The sequence below is a fragment of the Homo sapiens genome, chromosome 11 (genome assembly GCF_000001405.40).
Source record: "Homo sapiens chromosome 11, GRCh38.p14 Primary Assembly".
NCBI lineage: Eukaryota > Metazoa > Chordata > Mammalia > Primates > Hominidae > Homo > Homo sapiens.
In genome coordinates this window covers 75,645,095-75,669,553 of record NC_000011.10, presented here as the reverse complement: position 1 = coordinate 75,669,553, position 24,459 = coordinate 75,645,095, and the positions used below count along the sequence as shown (strand labels likewise).

General features: G+C 42.9%; 1 protein-coding gene across 7 annotated transcripts in view, besides 2 other annotated features; it reads left to right on the top strand.

The window, feature by feature from the left end:
- The window catches only part of MAP6 (microtubule associated protein 6), an 82,121-nt gene continuing 58,177 nt past the window's right edge, over positions 516 to 24,459 (top strand). For 6 of the 7 annotated variants that reach the window (XR_949933.4, XR_949932.4, NM_033063.2 and 3 more), the window contains exon 1: positions 516 to 2,089. Coding sequence is in view for 5 of the 7 variants with exons in the window: in NM_033063.2 (NP_149052.1) it covers positions 1,185 to 2,089 (905 nt within the window). In the remaining 2 variants the exon portion in view is untranslated. The remainder of the gene's footprint in view (positions 2,090 to 24,459) is intronic. The other variant, NM_207577.1, reaches the window with a different exon arrangement.
- Positions 14,930 to 14,989: an enhancer, noted in NCBI's record as "active region_5273". NCBI's record gives its function as "activates an Ori minimal core promoter by ATAC-STARR-seq in GM12878 lymphoblastoid cells {active_cell/tissue: GM12878}" and the evidence as "EXISTENCE:reporter gene assay evidence [ECO:0000049][PMID:35858748]".
- Positions 15,100 to 15,169: an enhancer, noted in NCBI's record as "active region_5272". NCBI's record gives its function as "activates an Ori minimal core promoter by ATAC-STARR-seq in GM12878 lymphoblastoid cells {active_cell/tissue: GM12878}" and the evidence as "EXISTENCE:reporter gene assay evidence [ECO:0000049][PMID:35858748]".

Below are 24,459 nucleotides of genomic sequence, written 5' to 3'. Positions count from 1 at the left end.
CGACACATCTGAGCAAGGCCTGTGCGTAAGACTGGCAAGTGCTTGAACCAGGAGGCAACCAAACTGGGCTCAAACACAGCCCGCCGGTTTTGACCAATTCCAGCAGCTCCCCTTTTCAAAGCATCTATTCTGGGACAGACATTTCACTAGGAGTTTCCTCCATGTTTTAAAATTTAATAGCACCCCCCCCCCCCATTGGCCCTATTTTACAAAAGAGGAGCCTCCGACTCCTGGGGATGAAGCGACAAGCACAAGGACAGAAAGTCCTCACGAGCTTGGGACTTGAACCCACTACGTCCCCAGATTCTGCTGTTGCCCGGGAGTAGAGGAGGGAGGAGCTGCCAGGGCGGAGGGTGGTGGGGAGGGAAGGCAAGCTCCCAGCAGCGCAAGCTGACGACAGCAGGTGTTTTTGTTTTGTTTTGTTTTTTTCTGCAGCACTCTTTCAGTCAGCATCGTTCCTGGATTTTTTTCTCACTGCTGAGCAGCATAAAAGGGTGGGGCCGCTTCCCTGCAGCAGAGGCAGAGGCGGCGGCGGCAGCGGCTGCAGCATCATTCGCGGGCAGCGGCGGAGACCGAGAGCTGCAGAAAAGGGTGGGGTCGCTTCCCAGGAGAAGAGGCGGTGGCGGCGGCGGCTGCGGCATCCTCGCGGGCAGCGGCGGAGGCAGCAATGCTCGGTCTCCGCTGGAGGTGATGGCCTCCCAGCCCTGCTAGGTGGCCGGCTGCACTAGGACGCCGGCAGGAAGGAGACTCGAGCCCGGTCCGCGGACCCTGCGGCCACACCGCCCGGCCCCTCCTCTGCGCCATGGCTTAAGCCTGTAGCCACCTCTCCTCACGTCGCCTCGCTCGACCGAGGTCTGTGCGCCGCCGCAGCCGCAGGGAGGGGCGCGTCCCAGACACCCTCGCCGGGGACTCGGGAACGCCGTGCGTCTCACCCTTCGGCGCTCGCAGCAGACTGCGCTCCCAAAGGCGTTTGCGACCGGTAATCGAGGGACTCTACAGACTCTCCTAGGACAGCTCTCCCCGGGTGCTCGCTGAGGGAGGAGGGCGAACTAGCTCCGGCTGATCGGGGGTAGAAAACGGTGGGAACCACATTGGCCGGTCAGGATCGGAGGCTGAAGGAAGATTATAGAGACTTGCTTTAGAACCACAAGAAGAAAGAGGAGGCCGGCTTTTCAGCTAGCATCATGGCGTGGCCGTGCATCACGAGGGCCTGCTGCATCGCCCGCTTCTGGAACCAGTTGGACAAAGCGGACATCGCTGTGCCGCTGGTTTTCACCAAGTACTCGGAGGCCACCGAGCACCCGGGCGCCCCGCCGCAGCCACCGCCGCCGCAGCAGCAGGCGCAGCCGGCGCTCGCGCCCCCCTCGGCGCGCGCGGTTGCCATAGAGACGCAGCCAGCCCAGGGCGAGTTGGATGCAGTTGCCCGGGCAACGGGGCCAGCGCCTGGGCCTACCGGCGAGCGCGAGCCGGCGGCGGGCCCCGGCCGGAGCGGGCCGGGCCCGGGCCTGGGCTCCGGCTCCACCTCCGGCCCCGCGGACTCGGTGATGCGGCAGGATTACCGAGCCTGGAAGGTGCAGCGGCCCGAGCCCAGCTGCCGGCCGCGCAGCGAATACCAGCCCTCCGACGCTCCCTTCGAGCGCGAGACCCAGTACCAGAAGGACTTCCGCGCCTGGCCGCTGCCGCGCCGCGGGGACCACCCGTGGATCCCCAAGCCCGTGCAGATCTCTGCGGCCTCCCAGGCGTCGGCGCCCATTCTCGGGGCGCCCAAGCGCCGGCCGCAGAGCCAGGAGCGCTGGCCAGTGCAGGCCGCCGCTGAGGCCCGGGAGCAGGAGGCGGCCCCCGGCGGAGCGGGTGGCCTGGCGGCCGGAAAGGCGTCCGGGGCGGACGAGCGCGACACGCGCAGGAAGGCCGGGCCTGCCTGGATTGTGCGCCGCGCCGAGGGCCTGGGGCACGAGCAGACGCCGCTGCCCGCGGCCCAGGCCCAGGTCCAGGCCACCGGCCCCGAGGCTGGCAGGGGGCGCGCCGCGGCGGACGCCCTCAACCGGCAAATCCGCGAGGAGGTGGCGAGTGCAGTGAGCAGCTCCTACAGGTGAGACGCGGCCGCTGCTAGCGCGGGGGAGTCACCACGCAGACCCTCCCCGCGGGCTGCCCGGGGCCCAGGATCCCCAGCGCAGGCCTAGCGTGCAGCCTCCCTCCAGTCCCAGGCCACACCCTCTCCCCAGCCGCCTCCCAGGCCACCTCCTGTCGAAGCCTTCTCTTCTGCCCTGTCCCATGCGCAAGCTGTTAGTATATTCCATCTCAGCCTGCCTGGCTCTTTCACTTTACCGCTGTAGCCCTTTTCTCCATCCCTCCCACCTCAGATCCCTGCCTTCCCACAGAGACCCTTTGCAATGTCAGCAGAGGCTGTGCTTCCGTCGTGCCCCCATCCAACTCACCTGCTGCGTTAGCCTGGATGTTGCCCTTTGCAGGGTCCCCATTCTTCCAGAAGAAGAATTCTTTCCAAGTGGCCTCTCGCCCTCCTCCCTAGCCCAGTTCCCTTGGCCCTTCATTCTTTCCTCCCTTTCTCAGTCTCTGGGCAACACCCAAGCACCATACCTTTTTCTAGATTACCCACAGGATCTTTACAAATTACCCCCCACCTTCCACCGCTGGAACTTTGAAGTCATTGTCCTTCCACCTCTCCCTAGCTGTGACATATTGGGCAAGTTTCCTAACCTTTCTGGGCCTCATGTTCTTATCTGTAAGATGTAATTGGTAATAGACATCTCTTAGGATTGTTCACACTTTTATTGATTTAATATTAAACATTTTATTTTTATTTAGTTAATATTAAATATTCAACATATTTTTGAGTGCCTACTATATGCCAGGCAGTGTGCCGGACATTGTGAGGATTAAATGAGATAATCAGGAGAACAGCTCGTGCCTAGCACATAGTGGTAATTAGTACATCTTGGTTCCATTCCTACCTTCCACATGATACCTTATGATCCTACTTCCTAGGTGCCTCCAGCCTTCTCTGCTATTGAGGCATCTTCTTTCTCTCTCCTTTCCCTACATGTTCTCCAGATGTCTCTCATTCTCTTGCCACCAAAAACCCCTTTCTCCAGCACACTCAATTCCTTGCAAATGAATGCTTTCAAGCATGAAAATCTCTCTCTCTCTTTCCTTCTAGAATTTTCCCTCTGCTGCAGCTTCAGCCATTCCAGTCTGCTTTCTTGCCCTTCATCCATCCGGTATATATTTCTGAAGGCTTAGCTTTCAATTCTCCCCTTATGTTTCAACCAACATCAATTAGCTAACAGAACACAGTTGACTCTGGACATGCAACATTGCATTTGGGGTCTCTCGGGGAAGATCTGTATGAAAGTAATTGAGCTAGAGGTGTTCAAAATGCAGCTTATGGGGTCCTTTATCAATGCCACAGCTTTCTGCTGCCTCCTTCCTGCAAGAGGGTGTGGGGGGCGGGGAGGACTAGAGAGTTAGTCCTTTGCCAAGACTCTGTATATAGGTTAGACTAATATCCTTCTCCAGTGAACATTACCAATACTCTCTCATAGGCTGAGGAAAGAATAGCATATCCAGACATCCTTCATGTTAAGAGAAAATCTGTCCCCCAACTCCTACCCCTGCATTTCTCATCTTCCTGAATTCCACCTCCCACTTGGCATCTCTCTCTTGGTTTATTGCTATCACAACAACCACACTGGGAACCCAGGAGTACAGCACTTCCTTTGAGCTCTTGGTCAAACAAGGACATAAATCCTTTTCCTTGAATAGCCATGAGATGGTAGAATGTTCACTATGTTTTTATGCTGCTACCAAGCGGGGAGCAAAAGAAAAGAGGGGAAACAAATAAGCAGGAGACATAAAAAACAAAGGCAGGATGTAGTTTTCTAGTTCTGCTATGGCTTGCTTGCTTCAAGACCCTACTTCATTTCTTGATCTTCCTACCCTGAGAAGCCCACGTCTGGCCCAACATCATAGATTACTGGCTTGGCCTCTTCATCTTCCCACTCTCATTCTAGCACCCTGTGGCAGGTGGAACCTTACTACCCACTAGCAGGAGCTGTCTCTTCTCACCACCATGCAGTCAATGCCAATCAAGAGAGATTCCAGATTCTTAAGCCTCCTTGGGTGATCCTACTCAGTTTATGATTTCAAGTTGGCAGGACTTGCTTTGTTTATGGATGAGTGGCCTGTCAGTCAAGGAATGACCACATCCTTTGAATATAACGCACTCCAGATTTGGGGTTGTACCTTGTTCCATATAGCCTTTTTCCTCAAAACAACAGCTTAGCTGTGCAGTAAGCATGTCGTGCTTCACATGCCATGCTTCACATTACACACATACTGGAAATGACTGGATTTGGTGGGGGAAGGCTATGCCCTCGGAGCTGGTGAGAATGATTATTTTTAGCACCTATCAATTCTATTAACCTGTCAAAAAAATCTTTGAACACCTCAAAAAAATTTTTAAATTTAGGTCTTTTGTAAAATTTAATTATACCTATGGCTTTCGGGCCAGGAGTACTATTTTGCTATATAATCAAAAGGGTTTTGAAATATTAAGGGAATGATTATTGCTAAGAAACATCAATTTCTTCAATGAACAATTTAAGTGCATGACAAATTTGATGTGAAATTTAACGGGTTTTTTTTTTGTTCCAGAATAAAAATTAACAAATAATTGAGAAATTCACTTTGATTGAAAGTAGATATAAAGAAATAAGCTATTCAATACATTAAATACACTGTAAAGAAAAAATGGTTGGCAATTATAAGCTTATCTAGAACATTGATTTTCCTTCCCTATTGTCTCACATTCTTTTCCTTGCTATGTTTCTAGGATATCTTCTGAATTTAAGTAAGTACCATGTCCACTGACATAAGATGGGCCTTATGTTGCCTTAGAAGGCTTAGAAGCCAAGCTGTGCTCCACTTCAATGATAATTTGATTTACAAACCCTTTTCTTCTGCCATTCTACATAAATTATGGTGTATTCACACCATGGTGACTGGTTCGTCTCATGGACTTTACAAATGACACCTGCCACATGACATCAATGTGAACAGTCTGCTTAAACAGAAAGGGACACACAGTCCATCATGTAAAATATACATTCAAAATTCAGAATCATATACATGCTCATTGTTTTACTTTACAATTTACAGTCATAAATAACATTAGATACCCTTTGACATTATGGTTTTGAGAAACCTTCCCTATTCAATAGCTCATCTAATTCCCAATCCATTCATATCAGCCTGAGATTTTTGCATTCAAGTAGTATCCAGGATAGCTTTGGGATTATTCACAAACATGAGTTTGATTAATTTTTAATACATTCATTTTACATAGATGATATTGTAAAACTGAGAAGCATGTCTTTATTACCATTTTTAATGTTAAGGATGGGTTTCACTGGGAAGCCATTTGTGACTTTAGACCTGACGTTCTCAATTAGAAAATAGATGAGTCATAAGGAGGGGATTAAAATTCCTCTCCCAGTCAACCCCATTGCCCTGGCCATCAGATAATAGGGGTAGATAGGGTAGCAGCTGCTCCCTATAGAAATGCTAATGAGAAACTTTTCCTAGAAGAAACCAGCTGAGGCACCAGGAGGTAGAATTAATAAACCAGGGTGAAATACTTGAAAAATAAGAGCAGTAACAAGGAAGTTAGAAAGAAAAGGAGCCTTTAATGTCTGCCCTCCAGCCTTGTATGAAGGTTACAGGAAGACCCATCTGACTTAGTTTATGCTGTGCAGAACTGCCCCATTCCCTAACTGCCCATTTCCCTAATTTCCTTTTGGGTCAATCCCAGCAATGCCTCGAGGCCAATCTTGGATACTGAGTCTACAGCGATGCCTTCCTAGAGCCAGCCATTCTGAATCAATTGTTCTTCTATTCCCTTTTTACTTTCTGAACCCTTATCATTGTCTGCTTGATTGTAAAATACTCTTGTCCATGTCTGTCTCCCCCACCACGTCATGAACACCTGAAGAGAAGGCTGTATTTTGTTCACTCTGTACCTCTCACAGCCTAGGTGCCATATAGATTTGTTGAATCTAATGGACTTTTTAGGGCTTGTTGAAAATTTTATTTTTCTACATATTGATAGAGTCAATTTCATTTAGTTGAATTTTTTTCAGAAAATGATCACCAAGCCCCTGCCATGTACCAGACAAGGAGCTGGGAATACCAAATAAATGAGTCATAATTTTAATGTAAGAAAATTGTGTCTTCCTCAATCAAGTTAAAGTCCAAATCCTGGTCAAGCGCGGTGGCTCACGCCTGTAATCCCAGCACATCAGGAGGCTGAGGCGGGCAGATCACGAGGTCAGGAGTTTGAGACAAGCCTGACCAACATGGTGAAACCCCGTTTCTAAAAATACAAAAAATTGTACTAAAAATACAAAAAATTAGCCGGGCGTGGTGGGGTGCGCCTGTAATCCCAGCTACTCAGGAGGCTGAGGCAGGAGAATTTCTTGAACCTGGGAGGCGGAGGTTGCAGTGAGCCAAGATCATGCCACTGTCCTCCAGCCTGGGTGACAGAGTGAGAGTCCATCTCAAAAAAAAAAAAAAAAAGTACAAATCCTACCAGGTTAGCACTAGAAGTAAATGTTCAAACGGAGAAGGGCAGCAAACTTTACAGACCTGACTCTACATGGACCTTCACCTAGGGCAGCAGTCCTCAACCTTGGCTACACATTGGAATCAGTGGAGAACTTTCAAAAGACTGATGCATAGGTGCCTTGCCTAGAAAATCTGATTTCATTGGTCTGGGGTGTAGCCTGGGCAACCAAGTTTTTAAAAACTACTTCAAGTGATTCTAATGTGCAACTCACGTTATGATCTACTTTTATAAGGCATCATTCTCAAAATTTAGTACACAAAAGAATCACCTGGAGAGCTTTCTGAAATGCAGATTCCTGGGCCACATCCTCATACATTCTAATTCAATGGGCTTAAAATGGAGCCTAAGTATCTAATTTTTAGCAAGCACTCTAGATAATTTTAATGCAGATGAATGCAAGCTTTACTTGGGAAAAAATTACTTGGTGAGGTTTGCCATCTTTAAGCTATTGAGTTTTCCCACATGCAAACATGGCAAAGGTTGCCATTTATTTAAGTCTTTTATGTTCTTCACTTATATTTTGTAATTTTCTCCACAAAATCACATACACATATATACTCATATATATACACATATATACAGTTTTAAAGTTTTATTTCTGTATTTAAATTGTTAATAATCTAACTAGATTTTATCTTTATGAATGGAGTGAGGTAAGTATTGAATTTTTCCGTATATGGAAAGTCATTTATCCTTACACTGTTTTCTAAAGCTTTGCTTTTCCCCACTAACTTATGATATCTCCTCTATCACATAAGGGTCACATATCTTTAGATATTATATCTGGGTTCTCTGTTCTATTCCATCAGTCTGAGCTAATACTATATTATCTTATTTTATTTTATTCTGAGCTAGCTTTTAATTATTGTTCCTATCATGAAGAGTTCATTACCTTTTCTAATTTATTATTGCCCATATGCATTAAGTTTTGTATGTTAATCTTGTATTCAGGAAACTTATCACACTCTCTAATTAGTTTTGTTTGTAGACTTTCCTGGATTGTCTGTGGAGATAATGTATGTTTTTAGCAAATAACAATTTATTATCTTCCTTTCCAAGATTTATATATCTTGTTTTTTTGTGTGTGTTGCTCTGTTGGTTAGGACATCTGGTATGGTTTCAAATAGTAGGTGATAACAAACATCCTTGCCTTGGGATGTGGGAAAGTTTCTAAAGTTTTATCATTAAGTATGAGGTTTGCTTTATGTTTTTATAAGATAAGGTTAAGAAATTTCTATTTATCTTAGTTTGCTAGGGGTTTCTAAAAATTAGTTTGGCTGTTGAATCTTATTGAATGCTTTTTCTCTTATTGAAGGCTCAGCATCAGCTGAGATGATCTGTGATTTTTCTTTTTTAATCTGTTAATAGATTTTTTTTCTCATATTGAACCATCTTTGCATTTCTGGGATAAATCTTGTTTAGATAAAAATATATTTTATTATGCTGAATTTGGTTTGCTATTTTTTATCTGAAATGCTTGCGTATATATTCATAAGTAAGATTGGCCTATAATTTTTCCTTTTTTATATTAGTCTTATGTACTGTTGGAATCAAGGTTATACCTATAAAATTAAATGGGTAGATTCCCCTCCTTTTTAGTTATTTGAAAAAGTTTATATAAGAAGGGCTCCTCCTCAAATATCTGATAAAATTCTCCTGTAAAACTTGCTGGACCTGTTGTCTTTTTCATGGATTTTTTTTAAACTGTCAATTTGATGTCTTTAATACTGATTCACTTATTCAGGTGTTATATTTCTTCTTGAGCCAGTGTTGATAATTTATTTTTTTCTGGAAAAATGTACATTTCTTCTAATTTTATAATTTATTGACATAAAATTGATCATAGCATTATCTTGTGGATTTAAAAATAATCTCTACTTACCTGTAGTTATGTCTCCTTTTTCATACCTAATATTTATTTGTACCTTCTCGCTTTTTTTTTTCAGGATTAGTCTTGTTCAGATTTGTTTTGTTTTTTAGTCTTTCCAAAGAATAAATTTTTTATTTTGTTGAGCATCTCTTTTTTCAGTAAATTTTACTCTTATTTTTATTATTCGCTTTCTTTTTGTGCTCTGAGAGGTAGGCATAGGTCAGCTTATCAACAGCCTTGTATTCCTGGCTAAGAAGTTTGGATTTGCTTCTATAGACAATAATGAGTCACTGAAAAAATCTAAGCAGAGGGACAACATAGTTTGATTCAAATTTTATAAAGTTCCCACTGGCTGGCTGACCTGGGAAGATTAGAGAAGGGAAGGCCAATAAGGAGGCTATTGAGATAATTTGGAGAAAATGACAAAGCCTTAACCATGGTTGTGAGATTGGAGATTTATAACATAATACGGGTACAAAACAACAGATCTAAATGACCAATTGAGATGCAAAGAAGAGGATATGGCCCAGGATGACCCTTGTGTTTCTGGTTTTGGTAACTGGTAGTGATGCTAGTCACTGGAACAGGGAAAATAGAGGGGGAAAAAAGTCAGAAGTGAAAGTTGAGGTACTTTTCAATATATAGAATTTGGGTTGTCTATGGGATATCTAACAAGAGGTGTTTGAGGGTCGGTTGAGTAAATGGATCTGAAAGTTTAGGGAGAGGCCTGGGCTGTAAATATAGATTTGGAAACAATCATCTTGTGGATGTTTCACTTCCTGTGAAAGTCATAGGAAGAGGCAAAATTACCCTTGGAAAAGGAGTAGAGAAAATTAACCAACAGAAAATGGAGCCATGGGGGATACACATATTTGGAGTACTGACAGCAGAAGGGATATCCATGAAAAAGTTGAAGGAGGAGTGATGTGAGGAGGGAAGAAAGCCAGGAGAGAAACTTGTCATGGAAACCTCATATGAACTCAGCAGTGTTTTATGTCTGTTTGGACATTTTTACTGAGGCATTTTGTTAGATCATTGGTTAACTTTGTGCAATTAACTCTCAGAAATACAATGCTGACCAAGACTAACCCACAAAGAAGGTAAGATATATACGATTAATTCTTTGTTGCTCTCATAGGGAAGGATTGTATCTAATGCATATATGAACTTCAAAAAAATGTCAAGCCAGTGATAGTTCTAAATCAACAATCACTAAGAATCATTCAATGTCCCAAATATAAAACTAAAATAAATCAACAAATGTTCATTAAGATTAAGGAGCTATCTCTACAATGCTGCTTTGGCTTTATGAATTGTGTCAACTGTATTAATGTAAATAGGTGAGCTTCTCATTCTCTGCTGAATGAAGATAACTTCAACATGGGCCTGAACCAGCAAACTAAAAACTTCTAGTTTCACCATGAGAAATAATAATACTAATAGTAGCTAATTTAGTGCCTAGCATGTGCCTGGCAGAAGGCTAGAAACCTTAGATACATTTTCTCCCTGAAATCTTTGCAGTCACTCTTCAGGAACCATGCTGTTACTTCCCTGTTAGAGCTTATGATTCCCCTTCCTCTATCGCCCAGGCTGGAGTACAGTGGCACCATCTTGGCTCACTGCAACCTCTGCCTCCCGGGTTCACGCGATTCTCCTGCCTCAGCCTTCCGAGTAGCTGGGACTACAGGCACGCACCACCACGCCTGGGTAATTTTTGTATTTTTAGTAGAGACGGGGTTTCACCATGTTGGTCAGGCTGGTCTCGAACTCCTGACCTCGGGTGATCCCCCTGCTTCAGCCTCCCAAAGTGCTGGGATTACAGGCATGAGCCACCGCGCTCAGCCCCTTTAGGTTTTAAGACTGTTAAAATCACAGACTTTGTCTACGCTTGTCTTTCTCTACACTCAGCACTTCCTGCATGTCATATTAATATGTACTTTCTTCATTCAGTTTCCATTCAGTAAATGTTTATTTGTATCTACTATGTCAGGTCCTGGACCAAGTCCCTGGATGACAAAGTGGTCCCTGCTCTCAGGAGTCTTATGGTTATTGGACAGAGACAAGTGTGCTGAAAAGTTACAGGTGCCCTGATAAAATATCTGTGCAGGGCATGGTGGAGCACAGAGAAGAGAGGGGTTAAGTCTGCCTGATTTGAGGGTTGTTGGGAAAATTCAGTAGAGAGGGTGACTAGTAGCCTGAGTCTTGAAAGATGAGTTGGCGGTAAATGGGAGAATGGATCAATTTGAGTAAAAGTACAAGAAGAGAAATTATAAAGAGTTCTGTGTGGGCAGAACTTGGAAGTATCATTGCATAAGGATAGAATGGCAAGGGACAGAAGAGGGAGGTAGGCTGGGGCTAGCTCCTTTGTCTTATAAGCAACAGGAGAATCAGGATTCAGTTTTAGATTTTAGAAAAGGTGACTTTGACAGCAGTGGGAAGAATGGACTGGAGAGATTAGACTGGGAACAGAGTCCAGGGAAGAAACTACAGTCTAGGTGAGAGATGCTGATCTCCAGCAAGAATAGAATGTAAGCAAGTGCTGATAAGAATAAAATTATAGTGGCTAAATGAAAGTAGGCAGAAAGGGAGAGGGAAGAGCCTAGGATGTTTCTAGGGTTCATGTTTTGGCTGTCTGGGGCGGGGGGGGTGGAGAAATGGTATACACTGAGCTAGATAGCACAGTTTTGGGTAAGTTGAGTTTGGGGTGTCTTTGGAAGGTCTACATGGAGATGTTCGGTACAGAATGAAAATGGAAACTCATACTGCTGCTAAGGGTGTAAATTGGTACAACCACATTATAAAACTCTTTAGCATTATCTATTCAAGCTAAACATACATTTACCATGACCCAGAAATTCCATTCTTGAGTATCTACCTAACAGAAATGAATGCAGAAGACTTATATAAGAATGTTTATAGCAGCATTATTAATAGCTAAGAACTAAAACAGCCCAAATGTCCATCAACAGTAGGATACATAAATTGTGGTATATTCATACAGCAGAATATTATATAGCAGGGTATGGAAGGCAGAATAATCCCCCCTGCAAAGATGTCCAAATCCTAATTCTAGGAATTTGTGAATATGTTATCTTACATGGCAAAGGGGATTTTACAGGTGTCATTAAGTTATGGGCCTTGGAATGGGGAGTATAGCCTGGATTCACTTGGGTTCAGTGTAATCACAAGAGTCCTTATAAGTGAAAGAGAAAGACAGAAGTGTCAATATTAGGGTGATGCAGTGTGACCAAGACTTGACTGGCGGTTGTTGGCTTTGAAGATGGAAGGACACGTCCCAAGGAATGTAAGCCGCCTCTAGAAGCTGGCAAAGGCAAAGAAAGTATTCTCCCCTAGAGCTTCCAGTGAGACCCATTTTGGACTTCTGAATGACAGAACTGTGAGATGATAAATCTGTGTTGCTTTAAGCCATTCTGTTTGTGGTAATTTGTTGCAGTAGCTATAGGAGATTGATACACAGGGTTTATCAATTATTGGCCAGATAATTCTTTGTTGTGGGCCTGTCCTGTGCATTGCAGGATGTCTAGCAGCATCCCTGGCCTCGATGCACTACACACCAGTAATATTTCCCAGCCCTCCCTACCCTGAGTTGTGGCAATCAAAAGTGTCTCCAAAGGCTGGGCATGGTGGCTCACGCCTGTAATCCCAGCACTTTGGGACACCAAGGCGGGCGGATCACGAGGTCAGGAAATCGAGACCATCCTGGCTAACACGGTGAAACCCCCGTCTCTACTAAAAATATAAAAAATTAGCTGGGCGTGGTGGTGGGCGCCTGTAGTCCCAGCTACTCAGGAGGCTGAGGCAGGAGAATGGTGTGAACCTGGGAGGTGAAGCTTGCAGTGAACCAAGATCGTGCCACTGCACTCCAGCCTGGCGACAGAGCGAGACTCCGTCTCAAAAAAAAAAAAAAAAAAATAGTGTCTCCACACATTGCCAAAAGCTTCCTAGTGGATGAGAAAATTGATCCCAGATACAAGTATATTTACTGAATGATTCCATTTATACGAAGTTCAAAAACAGGCAAAGTAATTGATGGTGACAGTTGTTGGAATAATGGTAATCTCTGGGATTTAGGTGGGTAATTGGCTGAGAAGGAGCACAGGAGAAACTTCTGAGGTGTTGGAAATGTTCTATATCTTGATCTGAGTGGTGGTGACATGGGTTTATACACACAAACAATTGAGACTTATGGACGTTATTCTCTGTGTGTTATACCTCAACAAAAAATAAGAAACAAAATACAAAAGAACTAAATGGAGATAGAGCTTGAAGCTCAGGAGAAAGGGTAGAACAGAAAAGAAGATCAGGACAACATCAGCCTGTTGGTGAGAATCAAACCCATAGGTATTAGGGTGGGTAGGGAAGAGAGAGGGTGAGAAGAAAAGAATGCTGAGGTCAACGCCCAGCAAGCATCGATATCTCTGGTATGTGAGGGAGGAGTCAGCAAAGGATGAGCTCTTGGTGTCTGTGCTTGCCTCTCCTGTCCAAAAGAGAGCAGGAGCATAGGCCTCACTGTGGTCTCAACCTCCAACCTCTGGTGCTGCTGGCCTTGTACATTACACACAGGAACTACCCGTGCTGTGTATTACATAATACACATCGTTATTATCTTTGCTATCCTTCCCTTATCTTAGCATAGTCCACTGTCAGTGGGTATTTGTTTTCAAACTGAATGAAGAGGCTTTTGCAGGATTAGGCCTGGTGTAACCTCTTTTAGTGGGAAAATTGTGCCCAAACCTCAAGCCACAAAACCCACTGCAAGTGCATCCCTGAAACAATGCGTCCTCCACTGAGCTGTCCCCTTGTGGTCACTGTCCATTTTGTGCAGTGTCTTTGAAACACTGGCCTACATTGTGGCATATCCTAGAGTGCATAGTGCATTTTTGCAAGCCTCCTAGCCCTTAAGGATTGTTCCGTATTAAACCATAATAATTAGGCAAAAGGTAGATCAAGGCAGAATGCAAAAGAGCAGAATATTAGAAAGAACAGAGACATAATTGAGTTTCAGGCTCATCTGCTGAGTGTTTACTCTGTGCCAACTGCTTTAACATATCTTTTTCTGTAGACTTCATAATGACCTTTTAAGGTAAACATCTCTATCTTTAAAGATGCAGAATAGAGTCAGAGAGGTATGGGGACTGAGGTTATAGAAACAGTTAGTGGCTGAGCTGGCTCAGGAATCTAATTCTCCTCATTCCAGCCACAGCTGTGTCTTGCTTGTGCAGCTCCAGCAGGCCCCTGCCAAGTCCCCTCATGTTCCCCTAGTCCAACATGCCATTCTTGGGAGGGCTGCTGCCAACTTCAACCTTTATGCTGTCTTTCTGGCCCCAACTCTGCTAAGCCCATACCATCTCCCTCCACTAATCTTGTTTCTACAGTGGAGGAGGGGTGGGTGGTCTCACTTCTTTTCCTAAACTCTCAACAGATTCCCTTCTCCTCCAGGGCAAGGCCCAGGCATCTGGGTGTGCAGTCAGTGCCTTCCATTATCTGACCAATCTGATGCTTCTAGCCTTCTTGCCCACTGCTCCCTGCACACACTCGATGCCTTTTCTTGGGTATTCTCAGCCCTGGCTGCACGTTAAAATCATATGGACCTCAGCAGGTGCTCTGACCGAATCACAGCCTAAACTGGGTCTCACAAGCCCCACATTCAAACTACTGCTGGATTTTGCTCACAGTTTTCCCCCCTGCCCTCCTCCCATCTTCTTTCTAAATCCTTTCTATCCTTCAGGGCTTTTAGTCCATTGAGAAAGAGGCTTATACTATAAAAGCAGGGAATTAGGTTGGATTTATTTGATCCTAATTCCATAATAATAATGCAGTGGGCCTAATATTATTTTTACTCAGAGTTCAATGTAACATCTTAAGAGCATGCCAAGGCTGGGACTATAGGCTATGAAGATTCAAGGTGAAGAGCACATGACCCCTGTTTGCAGGAGATTGCTGTCTTTTGAGGGAGATAATATGGATGTAAGTAGTGTATCTAAAAGTACCAGGCGGGCCCTGGTGAGAGTAAAAATTGGGAGCCAGAGTTCTCTAGGGGCGCAACAGTGGCTAGTTAACACTATCAGAAGATTGTTGGAAGGAATGGTTTTATGAGTCCTGGGAGGTGCCCTTGTGTCCTGTGAAGAATTTAGTGTCCATCAAAGCTGGGTTTGAATCATGCATCTTAACTTAAAGTCTGTGTGACCTTGGGAAAGTCTTTATTTTTCTCATCAATAAAATGGGGGTAACTACACAGTTGTGACTTCACAGAGTCATGATGAAGTTGGGGGGAGATAATGTTTGTCCACAGTGCATACTCATCATAGTAAGTGCTGGCTACTTTTATTATTATCACTGAAATAATGAAGTAGAGTATGTTACCAATGAAAGTTTTTCATTTACTCATTCAGGAAACATTTATTGCATCTCAGATGAATCACTACGCTAGGGTAGAGAGATAAATTACACCTAGCAACTGTCCTAAAGGAGCTCCTGGTCTAGTGGGAGGAAGGCATATTTTTCGAAAGTATAGTCATAGTGGTAAGTGCAAGAATAGAAATGTGCACAGGCTATTGAGGAGTTGTAGAGGAAAGGGGGTTTCTGGCCTGAGTCATGAACCACTTCCTGAAGGGGTGTACCTGTACGGTGTGTCAAAAGCTTAGGAGTTAGTTCCACTGGGAAGGAAAAAGATTAGGAACTATAAATTCCTTCCTAGAGGTTTTTATCAATGAGATAAAAATTCAGAAGGGCACTTAAAAGTACAATACATTCTTGTAATTCCTGCTTTCCTCTGATGTCTGGCTTTATTTGGGACTTGGTTTCAAGTCCTGCTTACCATGTATTAACTATATGATTTAGAGCAAGTTACTTAATCACTCTTTTCTGATTTTGTTTCCTTAGTGGTAAAACAGAATCACTAATATCTACCTTACAAGTTGTTGAAAGACTTAACATTCCATTAAGTCTGTTACTATCTTACCTATCTTATTTACTATTGTACCTCCAGCACCTAGCTTAGTGCATGGTGTTTAATAGATGCTTAATAGATATGAATTAATTGAACAAATGAATGAAAGATGTGTACATACAGTGCTCAGCACAGTGCCTCGCCCGTAGTAAGCACTCAATAAATGGCAACTATCCTCATCATCATTGTCCCTGGTGGGTTGAGTACTACTTGGCTAATATACAGAGGTCCTTTGCCCTTCTCATTGCACACATTCTGAATTTCTGGGTAAAGAACCATTAAATGCTCAGGTCAAAGATTTTCTATGTGTATTTTTTTAGTCCAGCAAGCATCTCTGAGTCACCATGTTCTAATCTACCTGTGCAAATATGAATTATTTGGAGAGGCCTGGCTTTTGCCACTTTGCATACACAAAAATTATTTATTTTATTGCATGAGTAAAATAAGAATCATAAAATTAGAACTGTAATAAAAGCAATTAGAAAAGAATGATTTTTAGCAAGTTTAAATTTGCTCTGAAAATGAATTCAGAAATGTTTCTGTGCTTTGATGTTATCTAATTTTTGCCAAAGTCTGGATTTGGGTGGCATCTAAGTGCCACAGGTCAGAGAATGGGTTAATTGTGTACAAACTCGAGGTCGAATTTTCCTTCTTGGATTGTGATGACTTGCTAGCCAAGTATCTGTGCCACTCTGACAGCATTATGCCTGCATCTCCTCAAAAAGCCCAGGGGCCCCAAGGACTCCTCCCGAGGATTTGGTATATTTCACATGATTTTTCAGGGATGTACAAGAAAGTCCATTCAGCTTGCTTTCCTTGCAGACAGAGCCTGGGCCTTGTCCTTTTATCCCTTTCTTGGGCCTGGCACAGAAGAGAGTTCAACCAGTGTTGGAAGAATGACTCTCGGCGAGTGAATTGGTCCATTGCCGTTCTTCTCAGAGCTTCCTGATGACCACATTCTCCCTTGTGGATTGAGTGAGCCACCGGATTAAATATGCAATTCAGATGCTGAGATTCTGTTTAGAGGGTACAGGGAGAGAAAAAAATGAGGCATCATGGATGTAATATGGGTGGGAGAGAAGTAAGAGGAGGAAAAGGAGTAGGGATGGCAGTCGGAGTGTTCCTGTCCATAAACAGAACTGTGCCCCAAGCCTGATGACTTGAGAAGACAGCATTGTCAAGGTTTCTAAAGATGGATTCACAGTATTTTTCTTTTTTCTTCTTTTTTTTTTTTTTTCTGAGATGGAGTCTCAATCGCCCAGGCTAGAGTGCAGTGGCATGATCTCAGCTCACTGCAACCTCCGCCTCCTGGATTCAAGCGATCCTCCTGCCTCACCCTCCCTAGTAGCTGGGATTACAGGCACGTGCCACCATGCCTGGCTAATTTTTTGTATTTTTAGTAGAGATGGGGTTTCACCATGTTGGCCAGGATGGTCTCGATATCCTGACCTCAGGTGATCCACCCACCTCGGCCTCTTAAAGTGCTGGGATTACAGTCATGAGCCACCATGCATGGCCCAGATGTCACATGCTTTTTGAGCAGAGGAACTTATCAATTCTAACTTGAAAAGTCAGAGAAGACTTCAGAAATGAGGATGGCATCTGAGCTGGACCTAGAAAGATTAGTCTGATATCAGCAGGCAAAACAATCAGGCAGGCAGCAAGGGAGGTGGCAGGTCCCAACAGAAGGGACAGCTGGGGCATGGAGAGCTAGACATGCCTATGGAGAACCACAGATATTCCCATATAACAAGTGTTCCAAGTATAAGAAGTGACATGGTGGGAGACAAGCTTTATAGCCTTAGTCTAGACCAGTGGTGGGCAAACTTCCTATAGAGGGACAGATAGTAAATATTGTAGGCTTTGCAGGCTAAGATGCAAAATTAAGGTTATTAAGTAGGTACTTATATAACAAGAGAGAAAACAAATTTCCACCAAAATTTTATTGCTAAAATTCAAAATATAATAATAATTATTGAATAGAATCTTTTATAATACAGCTCTGCTAATGAGAATAATTTTTTTGGGTAATAATATTTGCTGAATTGGGGTTCAAAGTTGGTGTTCCCTTTCATCAGGTTGATTGCAAACATTCATCTACAAAAACCTTTCTTAGCTCACAGCTGAAAAACAGGCAGAGGGCTGTATCTGGCTGGTAGGCAATAGTTTGCCAATTTCTGATCTAGGTTATTGAGGACAGAATACTGTGTTACCAAGTTTCAGACTCTGTATTTAAGTAGCAAGTAACCCCCTGAACAGAGTGCATAAGAATACTTGGTTCGGCTGTGCCTTATTAAGCACATCACTCATTCTTCGAAAGTGACATAGTCATTCTCTTGTTTCCTTACAACTGAATAGCAATGGGAAGCTGATGTACATGTAAGAGTCTCTTTGTCTTTATATATAATGGATAACCAGCCAATCTCTCATAGCAACCAAGAACGCAAGGTACAGGAGTCACCATTGTGAAATACTATTAGTCTCTGGCTACTATGACCATTTTTGTGTGGGGTTCCCTTCGGGGCTACAACATGGAATTTTTTAAAAAATGGACGAGGGATAAATGGTATTAAAAGGTATACAGTGAGATCATCAACATGCCAGGATCTAGCACCCAAAAATAGCACAGAAGAGAGCTCTACCATGAGGGACTGTTATGACGCCTCACCGAAGCCCTGGTCCAGCATTCCTCCAGAGTGGGCCAAAGGCAGGCTGTGAATTGGAGAGAGGCTTGGTGATTCTAAAAATCTACTATAACACCATTCTGTGGGGAGCCTTTTAGCACAGCATAGTAGTCCCAGTCCAGACTGCATTTGTGAGAATGAGATTCTTTGCAAGCCCTTGGTAGAATGCATTACTTTAGTCACTTGTTCATTCAATTCATATTTGTTGAGCTCTTCCTACAAACAAGACTCTGAGCTAGGCTCTGGGGATATGACTATGAAGTCATATCCCCAGATTGGGGTCATATCCCCAGGGATTGGGACATGCTGATTTACTCTGTGTCAGCTCCTACTTCAATAGTAGGGAGAAATGTGATGATGAAGATGATGATAATGATGGGGATTGTGGTGCTGATGGGTGAGGAGGAGAGGACAGAGCAGCAGAAGCATGAATGCTCTTAAATAAGGAAGGTCTTTAGGGCTAGGAGTGTGTGATGGAAGGGAGAAGTGTTCTGAAGAAAAGGTAAGGAACACAAGAGAAATTAGTAATCACAGCTACTCATCTGGTAGCCATGGTGCAATGGACCGATCAAATGGCTTGGGATCAGAAAACCTCAGCTTAAATTCCAGCCTTTCCATTTACTATTTCTGTGACCTTGGTAAAGTTATTTCAAGTCTCTGAGCCTCAATTTCCTCCTTCAGAAAATAGGGCAGTATGATACATGCCATAGGATATAGGATACGAACATGTGTAAACTCTTAGGTCCTTGCAGTTATAATTCCTAAATATTAATACTCAGAGGTGAGCATGGAATCTGAATGCACACCAGTCTAGACACCAAGAGAGCAGTCACTCAGGGAACAGACTCTGAACTATGTTCTTGGATTACAGCCATGAACAAGACAAAATTCATCATGGAATGAGCAGTGTAATGACAGATAAGGTGTCAAGCGTGCATTTCAATAACTAATTATTAAATTTAGCTGTGATAAATGCTTGGCAGGGAAAGTACAAGGTGCTAACAGAGCATTTAATGGGAGCTGACAGGCTAACCTAGGTGAGGAGTTGGATCTGTCATCTGAGGAAGTGGTGTTGGAGCAGAGCCTAAGGTTAAAGATGAACCTTGAGGCCAGCTTTGCCTCCTATGTGACCCTAGACAAGTCTCTCCTTCCTGCTTCATTGTCCTCATCTGTTACTAGGGGTTGGCCCAATTTTTTGGGGAGTCCTTCCCAGCACTACGGTGCCACACTCAGAGATCCCTGTAAAGGCCTGGGTGCGTGATGTCAAAGCATGGTCTCACGTTGGAGTGGGGAACACAGGAAGGAGCACGACGGATCTGAAAATCCGATGACATTGAAGAGGGAGGGAGCTCATGGCCAAAGAATCAATTCCATCCATTCGATACTGCTCTCATTCCCGCTTAAGTGTCTGATGGTGCCTGCTCCAATAAATCCTCAAAGCATTTTCTGGGTTTTTTTGGAGAACTTAACAAAAATACATCACTAAGAAGGGTAAAACACACATATTTTCACTATCCATAATTTTAAAAATTAACGTTTTATTATATTTGAGGCTGGGTGCGGTGGCTCACACCTGTAATCCCAGCACTTTGGGAGGCCTAGATGGGTGGATCACGAGGGCAGGAGTTCAAGACCAGCCTGGCCAAGATGCTGAAACCCTGTCTCTACTAAAAACACAAAAATTAGCTGTGTGTGGTGGTGCGCGTGACTGTAATCCCAGCTACTTGGGAGGCTGAGGCAGGAGAATCGCTTGAACGTGGGCGGCAGAGGTTGCAGTGAGCCGAGATTGCACCACTGCACTCCAGCCTGGGCAACAGAGCAAGACTCCATCTCAAAAATAAATAAATAAATAAATAAATCATATTTTCTTCTAGTCTTTTATTGTATTAAAAAATATTTTTTCAGGTAAAGTTGTTATTTTTCCCCCCCACTAGGCCCAGACCCATTCTGCTTCTTCCCTTGCCCCCTGGGCAGTCATCACTGTTATAAAGAGGTATACTTTCATGTATACCTCTTCATCCATGAGCTGTGTAAGGCCTTGCATTTATGTGTGCTTTCTGACATGGCATCCTACACTGTGTATCATTCTGTCACTTTGTTTTTTTCACCCAACATCACATATCTTGAGAAAATGCAAACACACACATATACGTAAATACCCATACATATACAGATCGTTCTTTTTAATGGCTGTATAAATCTGCCATCATATGACAATATCACATATTATTTATTTCCCTATTTATGTTTAGGTTTTTGTACATTTTTACTATCACAAGCAATGTTGCAGTGAATATCCTTATACATGTCTAGCTGTGAATATATTAAAGGGTTAGAAGAGAAATTGTTGGGTGTTGGGTTATGCACATTTTGTATTTTATTAAATGTTGAAAAAATGTTCTTTTTACTGGCTGGACCCATTTATACTTCAACTAATAGTATATAAAAGTACCCCCTTTGTCTTATAATGTCAGACTTAAAAATTTTTGCCAACTTCATAATATGGAAATGTTTTGTTTACTTCATATTTCCCTGATTTTGAGTCAAATTAAGAAACTTTCCATGTGTTTATACACAATTTGCATTTCTTCTTCTGTGAATTGCATATTCCTACCCTTTCCCATTGTCCTATTCAGGTGTTATCTTTTTCTTACTTGCCTGCATTGATTCTGATTACTAATCTTTTTTCTGTGGTTTGTCTTTTACCTTTGTTTATAGTATCTTTCGTCATGCAGAAATTTTTCATTTTAGTGTATTCAGTGGACTTAGTCCTTGCCTTTATCATTTATTTTTTATTGCTAATGTAAGAAATGCTTCACTATCCCAAAGTTATAAAGGCACTATTTTCTTCCAATAATTTTCTGTTTGTTTGTTTGTTTGTTTGTTTGTTTTTAGACAGGGTCTCACTCTGTTGCCCAGGCTGGAGTACAGTGGCTCAATCACAGCTCATTTGTGTTTCGACCTTCCAGGGTCAAGCAATCCTCCCGCCTCAGCCTCCTGAGTAGCTGGGACCACAGGCATGCACCACTCCACCTGGCTAGTTTTTAAAATTATTTTTGGTAGAGACGAGGTCTCACTATGTTGCTCAGGCTGGTCTTGAACTCCTGGGCTCAAGCTATCCACCTGCCTTGGCCTCCCAAAGTGTTGGGATTACAAGCTTGAGCCACTGCACCCAACCTCTTCTAATAGTTTTAAATTTTGTTTTTCACATCTAGATGTGTAATACATCTGGAGTTCAATTTTGTGTATAGTGTGAGATAGAGTACAATTTCCTGTGTTTCTTGTATGTGGGAAGTCAAGTATCCCAAATCCGTTATTTGTCTGACAGGTAATTCTTTTTTCCTTGATTAAAAAAGTTCCCACTATTATATAGCAAGTTCCCTCATTTGTTTCTGGATCTGTTTCTGGGCTCTGTATTTTGTTGGATTGGTCTGTTTGTCTTTTTCTAAAAAAAATGCCACACTTATTTGTCATAGCTTTGTAATACGCTTTGATTTTTAACAGGACAGATCTCTTTTGGTTGTTCTTTTTCAGAATTGTCTTGGCCTTTCTCAGACATTTATCCTTTCGTATTTATGTTGGACTCAGTTCTCAAGTACTGCAAAAAAATACTGTTGGGATTTCGATTGGCCTCAGGTTAAATTTATAGATTAATCTGAGGATTAACATCTCTATAATACTGCGTCTTTCTATGCATAAACAAGATGTCATTCCCTTTCCTCAAGTCTTCTTTTATATTCTTCAAAAAGGTCTCTTTTCCTTGGGATTTTTCCTATACGTTTTCTAGATTTTGTTGCTATTATGAATGAGTTTTTTTCTGTTATCATTTCTACTTGGTTGTTGCGGTATGTAGGAACAGCGTTGTTATGTCTTTTACCTTTGAACTTGCTAATTCTTTTATTAATTCTAATATTTTCTCCTTTGATTCTTTTTCTTTACTCCTTTTCGATGCATTTCTGTCTTCTATTGAACATTTTTCTGTATTCCCTTCTACGTGGAAGTTACACATTCATTTTTGTGGGTTTTTTTTTTTTTTTTTTTTGATCAGGTGGGTTTTTTTTTTAGTAGCTATTCTTATTTTTATTTAAGAATTAAAAAGTAAGTTTCAGCCGGGCACAGTGGCTCATGCCTGTAATCCTAACACTTTGGGAGGCCAAGGCGGGGATCACTTTGAGGTCAGGAGTTTGAGTCCAGCCTGGCCAACATGGTAAAAAAAAATCGTCTCTACTAAAAATACAAAAATTAGCTGGGCCTGGTGGTACATGCCTGTAATCCCAGCTACTTGGGAGGCTGAGGCAGAAGAATCACTTGAACCTGGGAGGCGGAGGGTGCAGTGAGCTGAGATCATGTCACTGCACTCCAGCCTGGGTGACAGAGCAAGACTCTGTCTCAAAAAAAAAAAAAGTTTCAAATTAATCAAGCTCTACTGCTCCCAATTTCCATGTTTTTCTTGTCTTATATTTTACCTCATCTTTGCTTTATAAATCCTCAATTTAGAAATAATTAGTAATACAATTTTTATACCCAATGCTTATTTAGATTTGCCCCCATATCTACTAATATTTTACTCACCATTGCTTCTTTTTTTTGAGATGGAGTTTTGCTCTTGTTGCGCACGCTGGAGTGCAGTGGTGCCATCTCGGCTCACCTCAACCTCCACTTCCTGGGTTCAAGTGATTCTCCTGCCTCAGCCTCCCGATTAGCTGGGATTACAGGCGTGTGCCACCACACCCAGCTAATTTTGTGTTTTTAGTAGAGATGGGATTTCTCCATGTCAGGCTGGCCTCGAACTCCCAACCTCAGGTGATCCGCCCACCTCGGCCTCCCAGAGTGCTGAGATTACAGGCATTAGCTACTGCTCTTGCCTTTTTTTTTTTTTTTTTTTTTTTTAATAGAGATGGGTTTTCACCATGTTGCTCAGGCTGGTCTTGAACTCCTGGGCTCAAGTGACCCGCCTGCCTCGGCCTCCCAAAGTGCTGGGATTACAGGCGTGAACCACCAAGCCCAGCCAGCCGTTGCTTCTTGAATCCCACTCTTTTCTGCTGAAAATATGGCCTTTGCCTGAAGGATCTTTATCTCACTCTCCTGCTTTAGAGATAGTATCACTGAGAGAAGAATTCTAGAAAGACAATAATGTTTTCTTAGCACTTTGAAGATACCATTCTATGGTATGCTGGCCTCTGCTGTTGCCTGTGAGAAGTCTGCTATCACTGTAATTGTCCTTCCTTCCTATGGAATCTTTCCTCTTTGTTTTAAGATTTCTCTCTGTGTTTGCTGTTTTGCAGTTCACTATTATGCATCTAAGTATGGACTTGCTTTTATGGATCATGCTTGAGACTAGTTATTTTCCTGAATTTGAAGACATGTAACTTTTTCCATTCCATGAATTTCTCATCTAGTATCCCTGAATAATGCCTCTCTTTATTTCTCTATTCTTTCCCCTAGAACTTGTATTACACATATTTTATTTCTTCTCAATATATCCTCCTCGTCTTTAAACCACTCCTTATTTTTCATATATCTTATCTATTTGTGCTTCATTCTGGGAAATTTTCTCAGTCTTTCACTAATTTTCTCAAATAGGATATGTACCTCATTCAGTAAAATTGTAATTTCTATGATACTTCATTTCTAGAAGTTCTGTTTGATTTTTCAAATATGTGTATTCTTCATCATGTCCTATTGTTTCACTATGTTTTCTTTTTTGTTTAAGTCTTTAAGCTTTTTAAACACATTTATTTTGTAGTCTAAGTTAGATGTTTTCTCAAGTTCTTTGGATGTTAATCCTCATGGCAGATCATTTCCTCATATGGTTTTAAGTTTTTATTGTGGATTGTGAAAATGGCCCTCTGGAGCAATTGTGCTTTCATTCCTGAGAAATATTTCAGGGTTTCACTGGTCTGGGGTTCATTTTTACCTTAATTCCTCAGCTTGGAAATTCTGTACTCTGTGGGTGCTGCAAATAGGGATTCCACACCCATGCATGACTCTCACTTAGGGTTTTGATGGATAGTGGCAGGTTCCCCGACTCCATCCCACCCCCACCCAGAACCCTAAACAGAAAGGGACATCCTTAGACTTCCCTGGGCCAGTGACTCCATTACACCGTGGGGCAACCTTTGTGGCCCTGCTTCATGCATGAGTTTCAGTTCCCACTCCCCATTCTACAGAGGGCCAGGTCTCTTCTCCTTGCCTTGCCGTTAGAGCTGATACTGGGGTCCAAAGTGTCCTCTCGGCAGCAGTGCAGTCACTTCTCACGTTTACTGCTCTGACTCAGAGGTGCCTTCATTGAAAT